The sequence below is a fragment of the Homo sapiens genome, chromosome 8, assembly GCF_000001405.40.
Source record: "Homo sapiens chromosome 8, GRCh38.p14 Primary Assembly".
NCBI lineage: Eukaryota > Metazoa > Chordata > Mammalia > Primates > Hominidae > Homo > Homo sapiens.
Window position 1 is genome coordinate 135986267 of NC_000008.11, and position 20297 is coordinate 136006563.

Sequence of the window (20297 nt, forward strand, 5' to 3'; positions counted from 1 at the left end):
GTCATTGAGTGATGAGAGCCAACAGATAGATTTCTCAACCAACCCATCATTTGGTGGGACAATTCTGAAGTGGACTCCACAGTTCTCAGAGGGTTCCCAGAGGAATTGAGCTCCAAGAAGAAGGTGATGGTGGCATAAACCAAGGTGGTAGCAGTTGAGGTAGGGGGAGTTACTATCAACTGAGATGATTGGAGGGGAGTAGTTTTGCCTGTTAGTCTTTGTTGAGCACTGTCAGATTGGGTAATTTTGTCTGTTTCAATATTGTGGTAGGTTAAAGATTTTTACGAGTTCTTTGCCACTCCTTCCTTCCATCAAGAGCAGTGTAAGCCTCCTCCTGCATGAGCTTTGCACTTGGCCTTTGACTTCTTCTGGCCAACGGGACATCAGCAAATTTGACACAAGCAGAGGCTTTATAAATGTGTCTGCATTGGGGCTTTCTCTGAGATTGCCATGTAAGAAAACTGGATCACCTACTGGCAGATGAGAAGCCCAGGAAGGAGAACCAAGATGTCCCAGCTGACAGCCAGCACCAAATGTCAGACATGTGAGTGAAGCCAATTTGAATATTCCAGCTTCTGCTAAACTCCACTGACTGTAGCCACTTGAGTAAGCCCAACCACTTGGTAAACAAAATCAGCAGAAGAACTTCTAAGTCAACCCACAGAATTGCTATATACATATTGAGTTGTTTTAAGTCACTATGTTTTGGGGTGATCTGTTATGCAGAAATGCATAACTACACAAATACCCAGCAATCTTGTGGGAGGCTGTCACTAGAAATCTCCCCAAGCTTCACACTTTGCAACCTCTGCCACAGGTAGCTATGGTCTTGCAATTAGCTTATACTTCTGGAATGAAAATCTGTTTTCCTCTTATTTTGGATGGTCTCTGTGTCCCCTTCAAGGGTGACCTTTTACCTCATAGTGTTCCTGAAGCCTTCTATTGAAAATACAACCTATAGATATTCTGACGATTACTGAGATTTGCTGGAAGTAAATGAAATTCAGCTAGGTCAGAGCAGCTCAGCAGGTTAGAAATAGTCACAATCAACCTCTCCATTTTAAAGATGACAACACTGAGTCTCATAGAGGTGATGTGACTTGCCCAGAGCCATATTGATCAGTCCATGGCAGTAGAGTTAAAAGTTTGGGATTGAATCCTGTCCTTACTCATTTTTGAGCTGTGTGTCCTTGAGCTGGTTTCTTAAATTCCCTGTGCTTTAGTATCTTAATTTTTAAAATGATATAAGAACAAGTAACTTTGTTACAGGTTTTTATACTTCATGAGACACTTACAATGCTTAGCACAGTGCCTGGCAGATGGTGAATTCTCAAAAAATAGTTATTGATAATTTGTTGAGTGCCAGATGCTAGTCTATGTGCTGATGGCAGAAAAAAAGAATAAAACAGACAAAGTCTTTACCTCCATGTAGCTTATATTCTAGTAGAAGACAGACTATCCATTAAAAAAGCAAATGCATGTATAATATGATGTCAGGTACTCTGATAAAAGATAAAGAAATTGGAAAAAGAAGAGTTGGAATAATAGGTATGTTATCTGGATATGTTGGTTCCAGAAAGTCTCTTTGAGGAGACAACACAGACAGGAATGGTAGGCATTGTCATCATCATCATTGTCATCATTATGATCACCATCCTTCTCCTCCTCCTCATCACAGCTGGTATTAACACAGGCTTTTGAAGCCCAAGATGACATTCTTTTAGCAACATCATGCTGCCTCCCAGTGACTGAGTCGAGAGGGAGAATTTACGAGCAAACAAACAAACAAATGAAACAAGCTAAACTATACAGCTACACTCTCCTCTCTCACACTGAATTCAGGAAAAAAACTGCAAAAGTAGGTCAGTAAATACAAATCCTCTTTACAGATTATATAAAATATTAATGTTTGGAAAAGTGACCGTTTTGATTCCTCCAGCCATCCAGCATGACGGTAACTTGCAAATGCTGCTCTGGATGTTTGTCCTTCCTGGCCGAATATATGTGTGGTCTCTAAGGGCAGAAGTCACTGAAGAACAATCAACCAGAGCAGCACAGGGGTTATGCATGCAGGATTTGAAACCAGGGATAATGAAATTTAATCTCAGTTCTACCACTTTCTAGGTGTATGGCTTTGGGCAAGGAAATAAATTGCTGAAATGTGAGCTCCATGAAGGCAGATCCTGCTCACCGGAACGGCACGGTTCTCAAACCAGTGCATCAGTGCTTGAGTGACTGAATAGATTTACCTCATGCCTCCAAAGTTCAATTCACACCTTTAAAAAATGGGAATAATAATAGGCACATCAGGCTTTTGTGAATTAAATGTGACAATCATCATAGAACATTTCGCAGTGCCTGGCACATAGAGAGCAATAAATAAATGGTAGCTTTATTATTCAATGTTTGTAGAATGAATGCAATTTTGAGTGAATGAAGACTGTGCTTGTGGAACAGCATGAACAGGAGGGCTAAGGCTAAGAAGATCTTTGTAAATAAGTATAAAATAAAATGTAGGCCATGGTCAAGGTGCCTCAGTCTAAGGTTTTTGAGAAATACTTCTAGAATATTTAGGTGAAAATAGAAGTTCAGACTCAGATGGTATTTAGGGAGCATCACTTGAGTTCCCTTGAGCATGGCAGGAACTGTGCTACCTGTGTCCACATCTACAATTTCATTAAAAAGATCATAGTAACCCAGTTGGATGGGGATCACTATAGTCCAATTTATAAATCTGATAGAGGACGGAGTTAGGGATTGAACCGGGTCTTTAACTTGGAAGATGTGAAGGTGGTATTTGTTTCTCCAGTAGACCAGTTTCACACCAATCTTTCAGGATGAATGTCATATCATGGATTTAGCCAGGACCTGTGGTGTCTTCACTCAGTTCTGAGTTCTTCTATTAACAACTTACCCCTTAGGTTTTCTCACTCATCAAGTAGAAAAAAAAAAGTGTGATGTTGTCTGCCTACTGCCCAGAACTCTTCAGAGAACTGTACAAAAATAATAAAGCATTTATAAAGGTAAAGACAAAACTTAATTTTTTTTTAAAAAACAGAGGTAATGATGCATGTTCCTTATGATTTTTAAAGAAGTATTGCAAGGCAATGTTTGTAATCACTTTATTCCACCCCAAAGCATATTGTGCATACAAATTTAAGACTTCCTAGCACCTGCCATTCATTTTCAAAAAGTTAAATACTCATGAACAATCAATGAATTTTTATATAGGCTTTGCAATTGCTACAGAGCATTAGTATCCATTTTCTATTTGTAATTCAGAAAAACTTGTGAAATCATTATAATTATTTCTATGAGCAGGTGAGGAAATCAAGATGGAGAGAGGTAAAATGACTTTACCAAGGTCCCAGGTTAAGCGACTTTCAGGGTTCAGTTACAGCTTTTCCATCTCTTGACTTGACAGGTGCCATCTTCACTGTGCTGCCCCATCAGCCTCTGTTAGGTTCAAGAGTCTTAATTAGGACAATTATTGGTAATGTCTTTTTACATGATTTCATTTGCTATATTGTCCCCAAGCATAGATTCTGAATTCAGATATGAGGACCAATGGCTTCTTTTTATTTGTTGAAAAAATATTCAAAGAAAATAAGGCTATAAATTTCTTAAGGGCATATTGATCTGCATAATGAAATTATAGGGCTTTGCAAAGATATGATTATGGCAAGTGGATTACGAAAGATTTGGAAGACTTAATCAATGGTGATAGTAACTTAGTTGCTAGGATAATTCTTTGCTTATTGGAAATTAGGAGAAGTTATTTTGAACACAAAGGAAGAAGTGGGCACTGGATGATCTTTAGCTTCCCTCACTTTCTTACCCTGCTGTGTGCTCTGGGAAGCTGACCCCAAAGGATGGCTTCAACCTCACTCCCTTACCCTCCTGCTGAGGTCGGATTTAGCCAATGGGAGTACCAGCAGGAGATGGTAAGGGTGAGGGGATAGAATCTGAGGTCTTTATTCCCCTGGGCTGTAGTTGGTAGTGGGGTGTTCTTGCTTAAGGCTACCACTCCTATGGGTCCTTCCCTAGAGCTATAGGTCAGCTATAGCTCTCTTTCTAAGTCCAATAACTATTTTTTCACTGCTTCCCTTTTAGGCCTAATGAGATACCACTCCTGTACCTGTTGTCACTAGTCCAGAATGTTTCATCATTCTTTGCTGGCTTTCCTTAACCCTGACTATACCTTTTTAGTAGTTGTGGCATTAAGCATTTCTCCATCCCCTCTGTTGAGCACAGCAACTGCTTCCTGCTAAGAATAAGTAGTGGTGATTTACAGGAGATGTAAGACTGCCTTGCTTCAATTATATATGCTTTGACCTCAAAAATCACACCCCCTACCCCACCCAATTAAGGTGAATGGACAATGTGAATTAGAAGCACATGACAAATGGTAGAGCTTGATCCATTCATTTGAATGCATCCGTGATGGACTGAGGTGTCTACATGAGGCAAAGCTTTCATCAACCAGGCTCAGTTAAAACAACAGCAGGAAGAATGTCCACAAGGACTTTAGCTCCCAAGCTGCTCATATCTGTCAGCGACTATCAACTGTCTTGGGACCCAGGGCTCTTCAATCTAAAAGCACAGGAAGTTAGAGGAAGTTATAAATAATCCTTGAAAGTAGAAAAGCAGCCAAGGATTGGGTTACATAGCAATGGAAAACAGAGTAAGGGATAAAATTCATGGCTACTCCTATTTTACAAATCTTTATTTTTCATGTATATTCTCAGCTATATATTATTTTGTATGTAAAAAAATACTTTTTGTTGTGATTTCAATAAATATTAGAGAGATAAAAAAATCCATCCATTAGTTAGCTTCTATAGTCCTTTAGTAATGTGTCAACTGGGCCAGGAGGAACTGCATGGTCCAGAATCCTCTTTGCTGTATGTTTCAGGTAAGAGCCACAAGAGAGATTCTTGTGTGAGATTTGGAGGTAAGGTGATCATTCATCTCAGTTTTCCTGGACAAAAGGATTTCCCTGGACATGTGACTATCAGTGCTAAAACCAGGTCAGTCTCAGGCAAACAGGAACTGTTGGTAAACCTGTTGGAGGGTGGAAATGAAGCAGCAGCTCACACAGGTAGTCACTTACCTGCTGGCTCACCTTCATGGCATGGGGCAGCGGTGTGGGACTGTGACTACTCCACCTCCTCCTGCTGCTCCACCTCCTTCTGCTGCTCCATCTCCTCCTGCTGGCTCCTTCAGCTTCTCCAACCCCTGGGCCAGGTGTGCCTTTAGCTCCCCGAGGGAGGGTGTCCACCTCTCTTCCAGATACTCACAACATCAAGATCTGTCAGTTCACTCTGCGGGGGTCCCGCATGTCCTTGCTCTGGCCCAGTTTACAAACACCTTCTCTTCCTGAAGGGACTGCCTACTCTGTGCAACTCAGCCTTCAAAATTAGATGCCAAAACAACAGCATTACCAGAACATAATGTCAAATTTTTACAGTAAATCCATCTGTCTATCTATCTATTATCTATCTATCTATTATCTATCTATCTATCTATCTATCTATCTATCTATCTATCATCTATCTATCTATCTATCTGTCTAATCATCATACACATATCTTTGGGTTCTGCTTCTCTGACTGAACCCTGATTCCAGTTTCATTTCCTAAGTTTTAGGAATTCATAGGTTCACTTAGGAAAAAGCCTTACAGTTGGGCCTTCATAACCATAGAACAAGAACCATTTCTCACCTTTTGGCCACTGCTAGAGTCACATTCTTTGGCCTGAAAAGCAGTTGTCTACTAGACATTTACATCATAGCAGGTGATTCTAGGAGGGCAAAGAGGTCCAGAATCCAGAATAAGTGACTCTACTGCTGAAAATGTAGTGTTTCCAAAATATCTACAGACCTAAATCTTTACTGTGAACAGCAAGATCCCCTAAGAGCTTGCCTGTCACTGTGTGTGCACTTTATCCCTCACCACTTTTGTTCTCACTTTGTGTTCCAGTAACACAGAAGGAATTGCTAGTCTTTCTAAGTCTCAGACTAACTCTCTGGGCGATCTTAGACAACAAATAAACACCAAACAAAAACCCCTCTAGCCTTTAGTTGCAGTATCTGTTATAACATAAATTATTCAAGTCACGTATAACTTGTGCCTTCTGTCTTCTTGTGTTATTTTCTTCTGCCCTGACTACCTGCAAAACCCCTTAATGCCTGTGAATTCATCTCCTCTGTTAAGTCCCTTTGATGTTTTCAGGCATATTCAGGGGCTGATTTTTCTAAGCTACCTCAGAGGAATTCCTATTTTTTCTTCTATCATTACTACTAGTTAATAAGAAGAATAAGAATAGTATTAACAAAATTATACTACAGAGCTATAATAACTAAAACAGCATAGGACTGGGATAAAAACAGACACAGAGACCAATGGAACCAAATAGAGAACCTAGAAACAACTCCATACATCTAAGTAAACTCATTTCCAGCAAAGGTGTGAAGAACATACATTAGAGAAAGGGCAGTCTCTTCAATAAATGGTAATGGGAAAACTGGATATCTTTATGCTGAAGAGTGAAACTAAATTCTTATCTCACACCATATAAAAAATAAAATCAAAATGGGTTAAATACTTAAATCTAATACCTCAAACTATAAAACCACTAAGAGAAAACATTGGAAAAACTCTCCAGGACATTGGACTTGGCGAAGATTTCTTGAATAATGCCCCACAAATACAAGCAGCCAAAGTAAAAATGGACAAATGGGATTACAAATTGAAAAGCTTCTGCAAAGCAAAGGAAACAATCAACAAAGTGAAGAGACAACTGGCAGAATGGGAAAACATATTTGCAAACTACCCATCTGACAAAAGATAAATAACCAGAATATATAAGGAGCTCAAACAACTCTATAGGAAAAAATGTAATCCAATTAAAAATGGGCATAATACCTGAAGATACATTTCTCAAAAGAAGCTATAAAATGGCAAACAGGTATATGAAAAGGTGCTCAACATCACTGATCATCATAGAAATGCAAAATCAAACATACGATGTGACATTGTCTCACTCCAGTTAAAAGAGCTTTTATCCAAAAGACAGGCAATAAATAAATGCTGATGAGGATGTGGAGAAAAGGGAACTCTCTTACACTGTTATTGAGAATGTAATTAGTACAACACTATGGAGAACAGTTTGTAGGTTCCTCAACTGAAAATAGAGCTACCATATGATCTAACAGTTCCACTGCTGGGTATCTACCCAAAAGAAAGGAAATCAGCATATCAAAGAGATGTCTGCATTCTCAGATCTCTGCAGCACTAGTCACAATAGCCAAGATTTGGAAGCAAACTAAGTGTCCATCAACATACGAATGGATAAAGAAAACGTGGTGCATATATACAATGGAGCACTATGCAGCCATTAAAAATAATGAGATTCTGTCCTTTGCAATAACATGGATGGAACTGGAAGTCACTATGTTAAGTAAAATTGTCTTATTTTCTGTCCTGGCTTGGACAGAAAGAACAGCTTCACATGCTCTCCCTTATTTGTGGAAGTTAAAAATGAAAACAATTGAACTCATGGAAAAATAGAGTAGAATGATGATTACCTGAGGCTGGGAAGGGTAGTGGGAGGGAAGTAGGGGTGTTTACTGGTTACAAAAAAAACAGAATGTATAATATCTAGTATCTAGTATTTGATTGTACCACAGGGCAATCATATTCAATAATAATTTAATTGTACACCTAAAAATAACTAAAAGAGTATAACTGGATTGTTTGTAATGCAAAGGATAAATGCTTGATGTGATGGATACCTCATTTACCCTGATGTGATTATTACGTATAACATATATTCCTGTATCAAAATATCTCATGTACCCCATATATATATATATATATATGTATGTGTGTATATATGTGTGTGTGTGTGTGTGTGTGTGTGCATATATATATACATATATATATATATATATATATATATATATATATATATATATATATATATATATATATATGTATGTATGTATGTACTGGGTACCTACAAAAATAATACAAAATTAAAGAATAAACAAAAAGCCCCAAAATATCTTATGTTTTTCACAGACATATATACCTACTCTGTACCCACAAAAATTAAGAACATACAATTTTTTAAAAAGAATAGTAACAATAATAAAATAGGACAAGTAATAACTATTTATTTTTAGGAGCTGGGATAAACTCTTTACCTGTATTATCTCATCCAAATCCCCACAAGTCCTAAGGCATGTAGGGTGGTCACCAACATTTTACAGATAAGGAATATTGAGGCTCAGAGAAGTTAACTAACTTGTCTAAGGTCTCAGAGGCTAGTAAGTGCATGCCCGGGATTTGATATATTCTGACTTCAGAGCTCCAGGTGACACCTCAGCAATCGATTGTGGGTTTATGCTGGTCACACTATATTGTAGTTGTCTGTTTACATATCTGTGCCTCATCTAGTTGGTAAGTTTCTAGAAGGTGAAGCAGGAACATGAATATTTAGTTTTGTTTCTCCAGCCTTTAATATTGTGCTTGGCATGGGTAAGTGCTGAATAAAACTTTGCAGAGAAATACATGGATACAAAGATGGGTGGATGGATGACTGGAAGTGGCTTGAGAGATCATCTTGTCCCTCTTGATGTGCCCAAGGTAATCCAGCTTGGCAGGGCCGGCCTGAGAAGCCACATTTCTGGCTTCCATTTCTGGGTCTTTGACATCAGAGTACAGCCTGGCATTCTTCAGCAAAGCAGGAAACACATGAAGTCTGTAAACAACACAACATCTGAACACTGAAAATTAAAAAAAAAAAAAAGAAAGAAAAAAAAACAAGGAGGGGGTGGGGGTGGGTATTCTGGTACTTTTCCATTTCCATTTAATATTTTAAGGTGCAAACAATTTTCTATTCTTACACCTAATGCAAAAATATATGCTGACTTTGATAAGGTACTGCTTTTAGCTGTATGCTGTATAAAAATACAAGAAGAAAACACATGCTGGGATTTTCCATTTTTCCTTCGTTGTTGTGTCTTACTGAAACTTGGAAATCAAATTATCTGCCTTTTCTATCAAACAGCAAAACATTTGTCCAATTAATCTCTGCCCTAGATTTTGTTTTTCTTAGTCTGAATCCATGTCATTATGCATCATTCAAATCCTGAAAATGCAATAAAAATGGAGACTAAAGTGTATTTCAACCCCCGATCAACATAATGATTCTAAATGTATTGAATATAAAATAAATGTACTAATTTTGCTTACTTTTCATTTTTTACTTACAAATAGAGAAAAACCACGGTGCCTCAAGGGAACTGAAACTTCGCAGTTTTCTGCACTTGAAACATATAATGAGTTTCAGCCAACGATTCCACACTGCCTGGCTAGGAAAACCACTTAGTCCCTGTCCTCTGTGTCTGGATTTGCAAGTGACCATGTCGGTACCGGGGACCCAGGCCCAGCCAATTAAGTGCTAGTGATAGAGAGCCTGTGTCTCTTGGTTTGCTCCCCAAACATATTATTTTTACCATTTTCTTTAATGTTACAGAAAACACCTCATTAAGCAACTGTTGGATGAATAGCTGGGCATGCAATTTGTTAGAAAAGAACACTGTACTTGGAGTTACAACACCTGTGTTCTAGAATTTGCTCTGCTACTAAATAACTGTGTGACATTGAAAAAGTTATTTATTTTTACAGTAACCTCATGTTTGCTGTCACAATAAAAGTGCATAAATAGAGATATTGAAACTTTAGAAAAATAGGGTCTGTTTCTTTTTAAGTCAAGGGAACTAGGCTACCCAAGTGTTTCTCACACACTCGGGGTCCACAGATCTACTGGGATTGGGAGACATATTCTTGGGGTCATTGAATATTTTGTGAGAAATTTTAAATTTTTTGTTTTTATTTAGAAGCATATGGAAAGTTAAAAGTGATAGCTCAGTTATCTCCATGACTAATGACCAACTTCTTCCTATAATTCCGTCCCAGCATTTGCATTTGTATTAACTACCTCAAGTGCAAACCTTAACTGTGAAAGTTTAAATTTTATTGTTATATTTCTCTTAGGGATCCACAAGAGATCTTAAATTTGAGAATCAATGAATTAGTAAGCATGTCTTACTCTAAGGTTTGGTGATTTTCTAAAATAATTGAGAATGGCTGATTTCATTCATTTATGTTTATCCCATGTTTCATTGCATACCCACAGCAAGCCAGAGACTATTCTAGCCACCAAGGTAACCACAATGAAGGAGGGTCTCCCTAAGTTTCTGGAATCCCACAACTTGCTTGGGGAGATACACCTATCCATAGAGAGTTATTGGACATGTGATTTTAAATTTAAAACACCCTTAAACTACAATATGATAAATCAATCTCTATACCTAGCATCACTTAGACTGTAATTAACCTTTGGCCCATTCGTTCTAAATTCACAGTGATCTATTCAGGGTCTGAGTGACTTGAGCAATTTCCTTACCCACATTCAAAGATTGTCATGAGAATAAAATTAGATATTCTGAGTACAGTGGTCTTGAAAACAACACGTTTTATATTTCCTTGAAGGCAGGAACAACTTGCAGCAACTATATTTATTTATTAGGTTATCTTTTTATGAAAGGACTTAAGGTAGTTTATAACCAAAGCCATGTACTAATATAGAATTTTAAAAAAGTGAAAGGAAAAAAAGAAGGAGGAGCATTTGTCCAGTTGGCTAGTAAATTAGGATATGATGTATTGTAAAGTGCCTTAATCTTGGAGACCTACAACCTGGGTTTCATCCCAGCTTCAGTACCTCCACCTTGATGACTTAAAGCTTCCTCACCTCTCTAAGCCTCAGTTTTTTTTTTTTTTTTTACCTGAAAATTAATCTAAATATTTCTACTTGGGAGCCTATGAGGATTAAATGATATATAGATATAAAACCTCAAAGGGAGACTTCTGTTTTCTGGTTTCATATGTAAAGAGTTTGGAAATGGCCAATCCATTTTAACAATGAGTAAAAAGTTTAACAGACTGAAAATTCAACAACTCTTCTCAGATCTGTAAGAGAGGTGAGGATACAGGGAAAACCACTGCCCCCAAGATTGGAGGAACAGACTGGTGGATACAGGGAGTCACCACTTACTGGAGCAGAGACTCGTGAGCAGAAACCTCTGCAGGAATCAGTGCTGGGGTAGGAAGACCTGGACTATAATTGATGAATTGCCAGACGCTCAGTGTGGACAAGTCTAAGTGTTAAAATCTCCAGGAGGGCTCAGTCACAGAGGGATTCCACACCTTTGTGAGTTTTACATCCAGGAACTTTCTTAGGTTCTCACAGTAAACATCAGAGAAAAATTTGTTTGTGCTTCCAGCAGGGGGAGAGGAAAAGGAACCATTTGGAAACATGCCAGTGCACTCTGTTTTTAACAAAGCCTGCCCTTAGGAGAAACTAACTAGAGACTACCCTGACCTGGGAGAAGAGAAATACCCAACTCTAACCCACTGTAGCCATCTTATCCCTCCTGCGGAGGAGAACATAAGTGAATAGTATTGTGAAGCTCACAGTCTAGAGGTATAAGCTCACTAATAGTCTGAGACCTTATCATAGGGATTATACACTTCCCTTTCCCCCATACTTTACCACTACTTTACTAAAGACCTACTTACAGCAATTCCTTCTACCCAGTACAACATTTCCAGGTATAAGGAACGAATTACAAGGCATACTAAAAGGTAAAAGCACAATTTGAAGAGAGATAGTAAGCTTAAAACAGTGATGCATAATATGCAGAGGGCTCTGATTGATAAAGCAGACAGCATGCAAGAACAAGTGAACAATGTTAACAGAGAGATGAAACTCCTAAGACAGAAGCAAAAGAAATGCTAAGGATCAAAAATACTCCTGCAAAAATGAAAGATGTCTTTGATTGGTTAATTAATCAACTGGACATAGCCGAGGAAAGAATCTCTGAGCTTGAAAATGCCTCAATAGAAACCTCCAAAATGAAGAAGCAGAGAACAAAGACTGAAATAACAAAAGCAAAAGAAGAAAATATCTAAGGAATGCGAGACAATTACAAAAAAGTAGCATATGAGTAATAGACATGCCAGAAGGAAAAGAAAGACAAGAAGAAACAAAAATTATTTGAAAAGTTGATGATTCAGAATTATCCTCAAATAGGTGTCAGACACCAAACCACAGATTCTGGAAGCTCAGACAGCACCAAGCAGGATAAATGTCAAAAAAACAAAACAAAACCCCTACATATTATTTATAGACATATTTTGAAAACACAGAAAAATCAAAGATAAAGTCCAGAAAGGAGCCAGAGAAAAAACACTGTACTTAGAGAGGAACAAGGATAAGAATTACATGTGGCTTCTCAGAAACTATGCAAGCAAGAAGAGGATGGAGTGGAATATTGGAAGTGTTAAGAGACAAAAGCCACCAACCACGAATTATGTACCCTGTGAATTGATGCTTCAAAAGTGAAAGAGAAATAGAGTTTCTAAGATGAAAATTGAAGACATTTCTTTCCAGTGGAACTGCTTTTCAAGAAAAAAATTTATTTAGAGAAAAGGAAAATAATATAGATTACAAACTTGGATCTAGATAAAGAAAGAAAAGCATCAAAAAAAGCATAAGTGAAGGTAAAATAAAAACTGTAATTGTTTTTATTCTTAATTGGTCTAACAGAAAATAATTTGTTCAAAATAGTAAGTGTAATAATTTATTCAAATATGTACATATATACAAACATATATAGACATGTATATATGCTTAGATATAAGTTAAATGAATGACAGCAATGGTCCATGGACGGGAGGAAATAATTAGGATTACTTTGTTATTATAAGGTACTCACACTTTCCATAAAGAGGTATAGGGCTATTAGAAAGTGAACTTGGATTAGTCATAAATGTATATCACAGACTCTAAGGCAACCACTAAAACAAGTGAAGAAAAGTATAACTGATATGCTAAGAAATGAGAGAAAATTGGAATCATATAAAATGCTCAACTGAAACCACAAAAGGCAGGAAACTGCAATGAATAACTTTCACAAATAATGTTTGTCTTTTTCTTGTTCACGGCCTTAGAGATTGTACTTTTCTGGGTTGACCCTTTGTACCCTGTCTTACGCTTCACTTGGATCCATAGACCACTGCTAGTCCAGAGCCTTTCATGGGCTTGCTCCAGTCCCTGCTAGATAAGATGAAACACTTAGAATTATGATAGGGTAGGAATGAATCAGTGAGTGAAGGAATAAATGAATACACAAATGAATGTCTTTATTTTACACATGGGAAAATGATGCATCCTCGGTTTTTATGTCAGACAGTGGTCAGATAAGGATTCCATCCAGATACTCCAGTACCCTTTCCCCTGGTCCTAGCCTCCTTTCCTTCCCCCAGCCTCTGATGGTCTCATAGAACTTCTCTGACCTAGAGACTATGCCTGCTCTACTCTCTTGACTGCTGGAACCCTCTCTACGCATGGAGTGTATCTCCTGCTCACATTGGCTTTGGAATGTGACATTTCCCCAAGTTTCCTACTTCCTTCTCTATCTGCTGCTATTTTCAAAACCAAGGGAAGAGGTTACTTTTGATGAAAGGCTCTCTGTAATAATCCATATGTGTAAAAATACAAGATCAACAGGAAGAAACCACAGGCATGCTTCCTATCCCTTTAGGAGTGGGAGTAAAAGTTCTTGAATCTGACAGAGCTCTCATCATTGTTGTCCCTGGATGATATTCCTGGCTTGCCTTTTTATATTTTCTAGAGTTTCCATTGGAATTTTCTTCTCATATTCTAGAATAAATGTATTCATAGCCTTCTCTCTTCTCTAGGTCATGGTGAACATTTCTGCCATGACATTTGCTTAGAAGGTAAAATGCTAGCTAAATAGCTGGGCATTTTCTATGTGCCTATTTTAGAAATAATTCCATATATTCTTTAAAAACTATTATAAGCCTAGTAGAGTAAGACTTGATTTAATGCCAATCAATTTTAGCTGATACATTTCTTTTAACTAATATTTTTGTTTCTTTCTCATAAGCCAGCATGGAGGAGTAAAAAATGTTTGCATAATTATGTGGCAAATCAAGGCTGAGCCCAAAGGAGATATTTAAACATCCTGTTTAGCCCACTCAGTCTCTGCCTGTTTGGTTAAGCTAATTCTTAGGCTTATAGACTCCATCCAGGCTTTGCTTGCAGCTTAGAGGAAATTTGGTTGTATGAAGTGTGTGGTCATATGACCTTGTGGTTGTTTAGGAAAGGAGTCATACAACATCCTCTAGGCTTTGCTACCTGTGGTAGACAGAATGCCTCCCTGAATATGTCCATGCCCTAATCCCTGAATCCTGTGAATATGTCACAATACATGACAAAGGGACTTTGCAGTTGTAATCAAGGTTATGCACCACACAGCATAAAATTATTCTGGATTATTTTGGGAAACTCAATCTAATCACATGAGTACCTAAATGCAGAGAATTTTTTCCAGCTGTAATAAAAGAGATACATAAGAAATCAGAGAAATTCAAAGCCTGAGAAGGACTCAACCCCCATTGCTGGAGGGGGGCATGTGGAAGGTATGAGAAGGGATGCAGGCAACTTCTAGGAGCAAAGACTGGCCTTGGCTGGCAGCCAGCAAGGAAATAGGACCTCAGTCCTGAAACCACAAGGAACTGAATTGGGCCAATAACCTGAATAAGATTGGAAGTAGATTGATCATCAGAGCCTCCAGGAAGGGAAACAGCCCTGGTGACATGTTGATTTTCACCTTTTGAGACCCTAAGCAGAAGTCTTAGCTGGGCCATGCTGTATCCAGACCTCTAAAGAACTGTGAAATCATCAGTGGATGTTGTTTTAGACACTGCATTTATGATAATTTGTTATGGCAGTAATAGAAAACTAGCAAGCTGCCTTGCAATAGGACAATTTGCTCCAACATCTGCAGGCTACTGTACCAGTTTCCATGTCTGACCCCACCCCGCCATAGCCGCTGCCCACATAGGAGCCCATGATCATGGCTATTTTCTCTTGGCCATGCAAACAATCCTAACCTTCCTTGAAGATATTGAAGGCTCTGCATCAATAGGTAGGAAGTCAGTTCAAGAAAGTACCAAAGATTAAAAAAACTTTATGTTTCAGAAAATACTACTCCACAACCCAGATAATTGCCATATGTATATGAGGTGCCATGAAAAAGTAGTAGCAGAAACATTTAAGAAGAAAACGTGTGTGTTGTGTGTGTGTGTGTGTGTGTGTGTGTGTGCATTTCCATGCATGTGTACTTGTGCTGGGACCACAGAAGGCATGCTGAGATGTTAGGGAAAGCTCTCTAATGGAATTGACTTCTAAGATGAGACCTAAATCTTGAGACCTAAAAACAGAGAGCTGGGGAAGAGAATTCCCAGCAGAAAGAAAGGCATGGCAAAGCCTGCAGGGGAGAGTGAGACGTGGCTGAGGACTGGAGCAAGGTGGAAGTGACTGGGCGCTGAGGGCCGCCAGAGCCTTCAGACTTTATCAGAAGAAGAATATGACACCGGCCAAGCATTTTGTGACTGGAGTGAAGTGATCAGGCGTGTGTTTTAGAACGATTACTCTGATGACAAAGACAGGCTAAAGGAGAGAGTGAGTGAAATGAGGAAGGATCATCATCTTTAGAGGATGTTTAAGGAAGGAGGGTTTGTCTCCAAAAGGTGTTATTACAACTGGGAAAGTTCCATTACTGTCATCATTATGGGGCACTCAGGCCCCATCTTCCTACAGGAGAGGTGGTGTGGGATCAATTGCTTTGGCTAAAGCGCATGTCAACACTTGAGTAGCAGAAGGTGTTCATTTTGTTTTCGTTTCTCCAAGGTAAAGAGAAGGAAAAGCAGAAGAGAAAAACAAGAAAACAGATCTTGAATCACCCTCCATCTCCTCACCCCAAAGGGATGCTTTTCATTCTTGTAGATTCATTTATTGGCTTATCCAACTGCCTAAATTAATTGTATGCTCTTACAGTCATACTGTACGCAATTTTCCATCTCACTTTGGGAACACAACATGCTAACTTTTTCATGTTGCTGTAGCACCACTGAAAGATCGTTTCTAATGCCTACCTAATATTCCCCTGCATAGATGCTCAATTGTTTTAATAAATTGTTCTCTTTCTGTTGGACATTATGTTCCTCCCAGAGTTTTTGCTCTTGTTTATAAGTAACACCTTCAGGACATAGCATGTACTATTTTGGGGGCTATTTCTTTAGACTAGATTTCTTCCAGTGTTATTCCTGGGTTGCAAACTAGAAATGCTTTTAGCTCCAGATGCCTATTGCTAAATTGCCTAGAAGAGGCTTATTGCAAAAGTCACTCTCGTGGTTCATCACTGGGGATCACAGGGCAATCAGGAAAATGAATTAACTGTTACTGAGCACTCACCATCTACCAGGCTTTGTGGTCCTTAGTTCAATGCATGTTTACAAAAACACCCTGAGTTGTTTTATTTATTGAGGTTTTACTTCATGCAGGAAGCTTTAAGTGTTTTAAGTTCTTTAGCTCATGTAATCATCAATGGAGCTCAATGAAGAAGACGCTCAGTTTTTCCTACAGATTAGGAAAACTGAGACCAAGAAGTTAAATAACTTCTCAAATCAAGTACTTAAAAAATAGCAGGCCTTACATTTGAACCCGGATCTAGCTGACTTCATAGTCCTTAATCTTCACCACTACACTGCTAAGCAATATACCCTCCCTTCTTGTTTATCACGAGGCTCATATGTGCAGAAGAGTCAAGAGATGAGCAGCAAAAATATCCTAAAAATCAAAGAGTGGAGGATGTGGTAAATAAGAGCCCTGAGCACCAGTTACCACTCTTTTTGAAAAGTCATAATTCCTATCTGTTGCCCTGCCTGGATTAACAGATGTCAGGGTCACTGTCTGTTGTTGATAAAATCTATCCAAAAAGTAAATTTCCTGGGAGGTCCATACATCTGGACTGGGAACAATTTCAACAGCATCTGTGTGAAAGAGGCCTCCCTGTAAACCCTGGCAGACTGGGTTCTGTGGATTAGCGCAGATGACTGGGTACAAGGACATCTATTAGCACTGGGAATCTTAGCCTGAGAGGCTGGTGGAGAGTCATGGTGAGTCCGTGGAGGAAAAGGAACATGAACATTTTTAGCTTGGGGTGGGAATGGTGTGAAAATGGCAAGTGCACATAATTACATTGTGACTGGAATTTGCACTGAATTCAGGCTTTGGAGGATGCAAAGGGTGCTATGTAATCCATCTGCTGCTGTTTAGCTTGCCAGAAAAAAAGTATGCACAGAAGGCGAGAGAAGGGAAAACCACAGGGACTTGAGATAAATAACCTCCTGTTGCTGTTTTGCCTGATGTCATGACACTCTGGAAAAGACTAAGCTCTTGTCTTAGGAAAATATAATAAGTTTGTAATGATGCAAGCTTATTTACTTATATATCTGTCTAATTGCTTTGCACGTGTTAAAGGTTTGTCTCTCCAATGTATTGGAGAGACAAAATCTTCTTTCCTGCTTGAATCCAGTGCACTTCAACAAAGAGATTGAGCATTCATTCAGTCACTTTTGCTATGTGCTGGGGACCTGGGGATAAACACAACTGAGTGATAGGTGCAGTAATTTGAGTATGACCAGGGATCAGAGGGGCAATTAACCCTTTCTAGGCAGGAAAGGAAGAAAGAGATTAAGTAAACTCTCAGCAAGTTTACAGAAATAGGCTTTGAAGGCTTCATAGAGACTTTCCAGGGAAGCAAGGAGACCACAACATTTCAGGCAGAAGAAATAGCCTACAGGAAGGCATGACTTGCTTGAAAAATTACAAGCCCTTTGGGGTGTTAAGGTCTAAAATGTGCAGCAGTGACAGTGGGAGTCTGGAAAAGACAAGAATGGGAAATGGGAGAGAAGATGGGCTGAGAAGAGGAATGGGACATGAGGTGTTTTTGCAGGCAGGAGCCATGGTATGATTCTTTAAGAAGCTATTTGACCACATAGCACCAACCACCCAGTACTAATGGTGCCATGACCTAGAAGAAGCATGCATTAATCCATCAGGTTAAAGCCCAGAGGGGGCAAGTTCTAGACACTCTGCCAATGCTAGGCAAATTATTTCACCTCTTCGAGCCTCATTTTTTTTTCATCTTTTAGCTAACATCATTAGTATATATCTTACAGGGCTGTTTGGGAAGGCTAAAAAAAAAAATCCAGTGGCATGAAAGAACCCAGTAACATTCCTGGCACGTAAATATTAATATCTTCCCTGGCATTCAGTGGATGCTCAGTAAATTTGGACTGAAAACAATTTCATTAGACAAATAGAAACAAATTCAAGGTTATCATGATTATTCATAAATAATGAAAAATATCACTGAAGAAGAATGTGTGCTATGGAAAGGAAGGGAATGGGTGGCAGAGGAAGACAAAGCAGAAGAGTGGCGGGAAGGAGAGAGAAAGAAATGGAAGACAGATTTTTCATGGCAAGTAATGTTGATTCAAAACAAAACAGAGCTTTACCTGGACTCTATGCAGAGAAACCTGGTTAATAGAGACCCAGTCAAGCAGGTGTCCTTTGTGAAGCGACCCTCCTGGATGCCAGAGAACCTCTCAGAGCCTCTGTTACAGGTTCCTGTGTTCATTCCTTTTCTCTGGCCCACTGAGTCAGGGAGCAATAATTCTTTCTAAGCTGGCTCCTGAACGTTCAGTTAATTTAGATCTATTGAGTTTACAGGGATTACCTTGCTTCCTTTGTAGTAAATAAAGCCATAAGCAGCTGATGAAATTGATAAATGGCTCCCGGCGAGCTGCGGCATTTAATCAATGACAAAAGCTGTGCATTGGGTACAGTGTAGAAGAGAGAAGCCCAGGGCCAGGACCAGAGCCATGGGGCAGCAGAGACAGCAGACTGAAAAGCAGCAGGAGCTTCAGCCAGTACCAAGTTCTACTTACTCAATATGGATCATGGTCTCACGCATTCATTTTTCATTTGGCTTGGGATAATTGTTTGAATTCCTGTTTGGAAAACAGATTACATAGAAGGCATGAAGGGAAATGCAAATAGATCAAATAAAAAAGCCATATTCAACCCCAAAGAAATCACAGTAGTTTAATTTTTTCGTGTTTGTATCTTGTCACTATTTGCATATATGTGTAATATGTATCATGTTTGCCTTTTTTTTTTTTTTTTTTTTTGAGATGGAGTCTCGCTGTATCACCAGGCTGGAGTGCAGTGGCATGATCTCGGTTCACTGCAACCTCCAACTCTCAGGTTCAATCGATTCTCCTGCCTCAGCCTCCCTAGTAACTGGGACTACAGGCAAGTGCCACCACACCCAGATAATTTTTTTGTATTTTTAGTAGAGATGGGGTTTCACCATGTTGGCCAGCCTGGTCTCGAACTCCTGACCTCAAACGATCCGCCTGTCCTGGCCTCCCAAAGTGCTATGATTACAAGTGTGAGCCACCGTGCCCAGACTATGTTTGCATTTTAATTTTGCTTGCTAACAACCCATTCTCCTCAAGTCATCAGAAAGATTGCCTTAACATGTAAATGCGGTCACACTATGCACTGCTTGTATCCTGCAGGAGCTTATTCGGGATCTTCAAGATAAAGTCTCAAATGCTCACCAGGCCCCTGCCTTGCACGTTCGGGACATCCTCATCTCTCTGACTTTCTCTTCTTGTAACCTCCAACTTATTAGATTCCTTCCACTTCCAGTTCTCAAACACACCCTATGTTTTCTCTTCATGCTCGACCTTAATCTGGCTTTATCCTTTGTCTCAAACATCCTTCGCCTATTTATTGCTTGAAGAACACATTCTACATGTGTCAAACGTGCTCTTCCTTGCTCCATATAAACTAGATTCTTCTAATCAGGTTATATCTGAATACTTTATACTTTTCTACTTCTGCTTCATTGCAATGATTACAGTTTGGGGATTTTTGTTTCATTACCTTCTTGCCCATAGACTGTAACTTGCTCATAGATTGTAAGTTTCTTGAAAGTGGAGAACATCTATATATTCACCACTGTATATGCAGTTTCTAGCTGAGTGCTTACACCTTTCTTGAATCTTTGCTGATGACTGAATTTAACTACAAAGGTACCATTTTATGATCTGCCGTTTTCAGTTAACATTACATTATAAACAATGATGTTTTTGATTAGATGCTCACTATTCCATCAAATAGACATCTTATTTCAGTCTATCATCCCCTTCTAGTTGGGTAATTGAGTACCGTCCAGTGTTTTTTTGTGTGTGTGCTTATAAATAATGCTTACCTTTCCATGG

The 20297-nt window shown here is 38.9% G+C and overlaps 1 long non-coding RNA gene across 1 annotated transcript; it reads right to left on the minus strand.

Moving 5' to 3' along the window:
- Positions 1-3360: 3360 nt before the first annotated feature.
- On the minus strand, positions 3361-18829 carry LOC107986978 (uncharacterized). Its single transcript, XR_001746100.3, has 3 exons — positions 18522-18829; positions 5114-5411; positions 3361-3456 (listed from the first exon to the last, which is right to left on the minus strand). It is a non-coding gene; the product is annotated as an uncharacterized LOC107986978 (long non-coding RNA).
- Positions 18830-20297: the final 1468 nt, after the last annotated feature.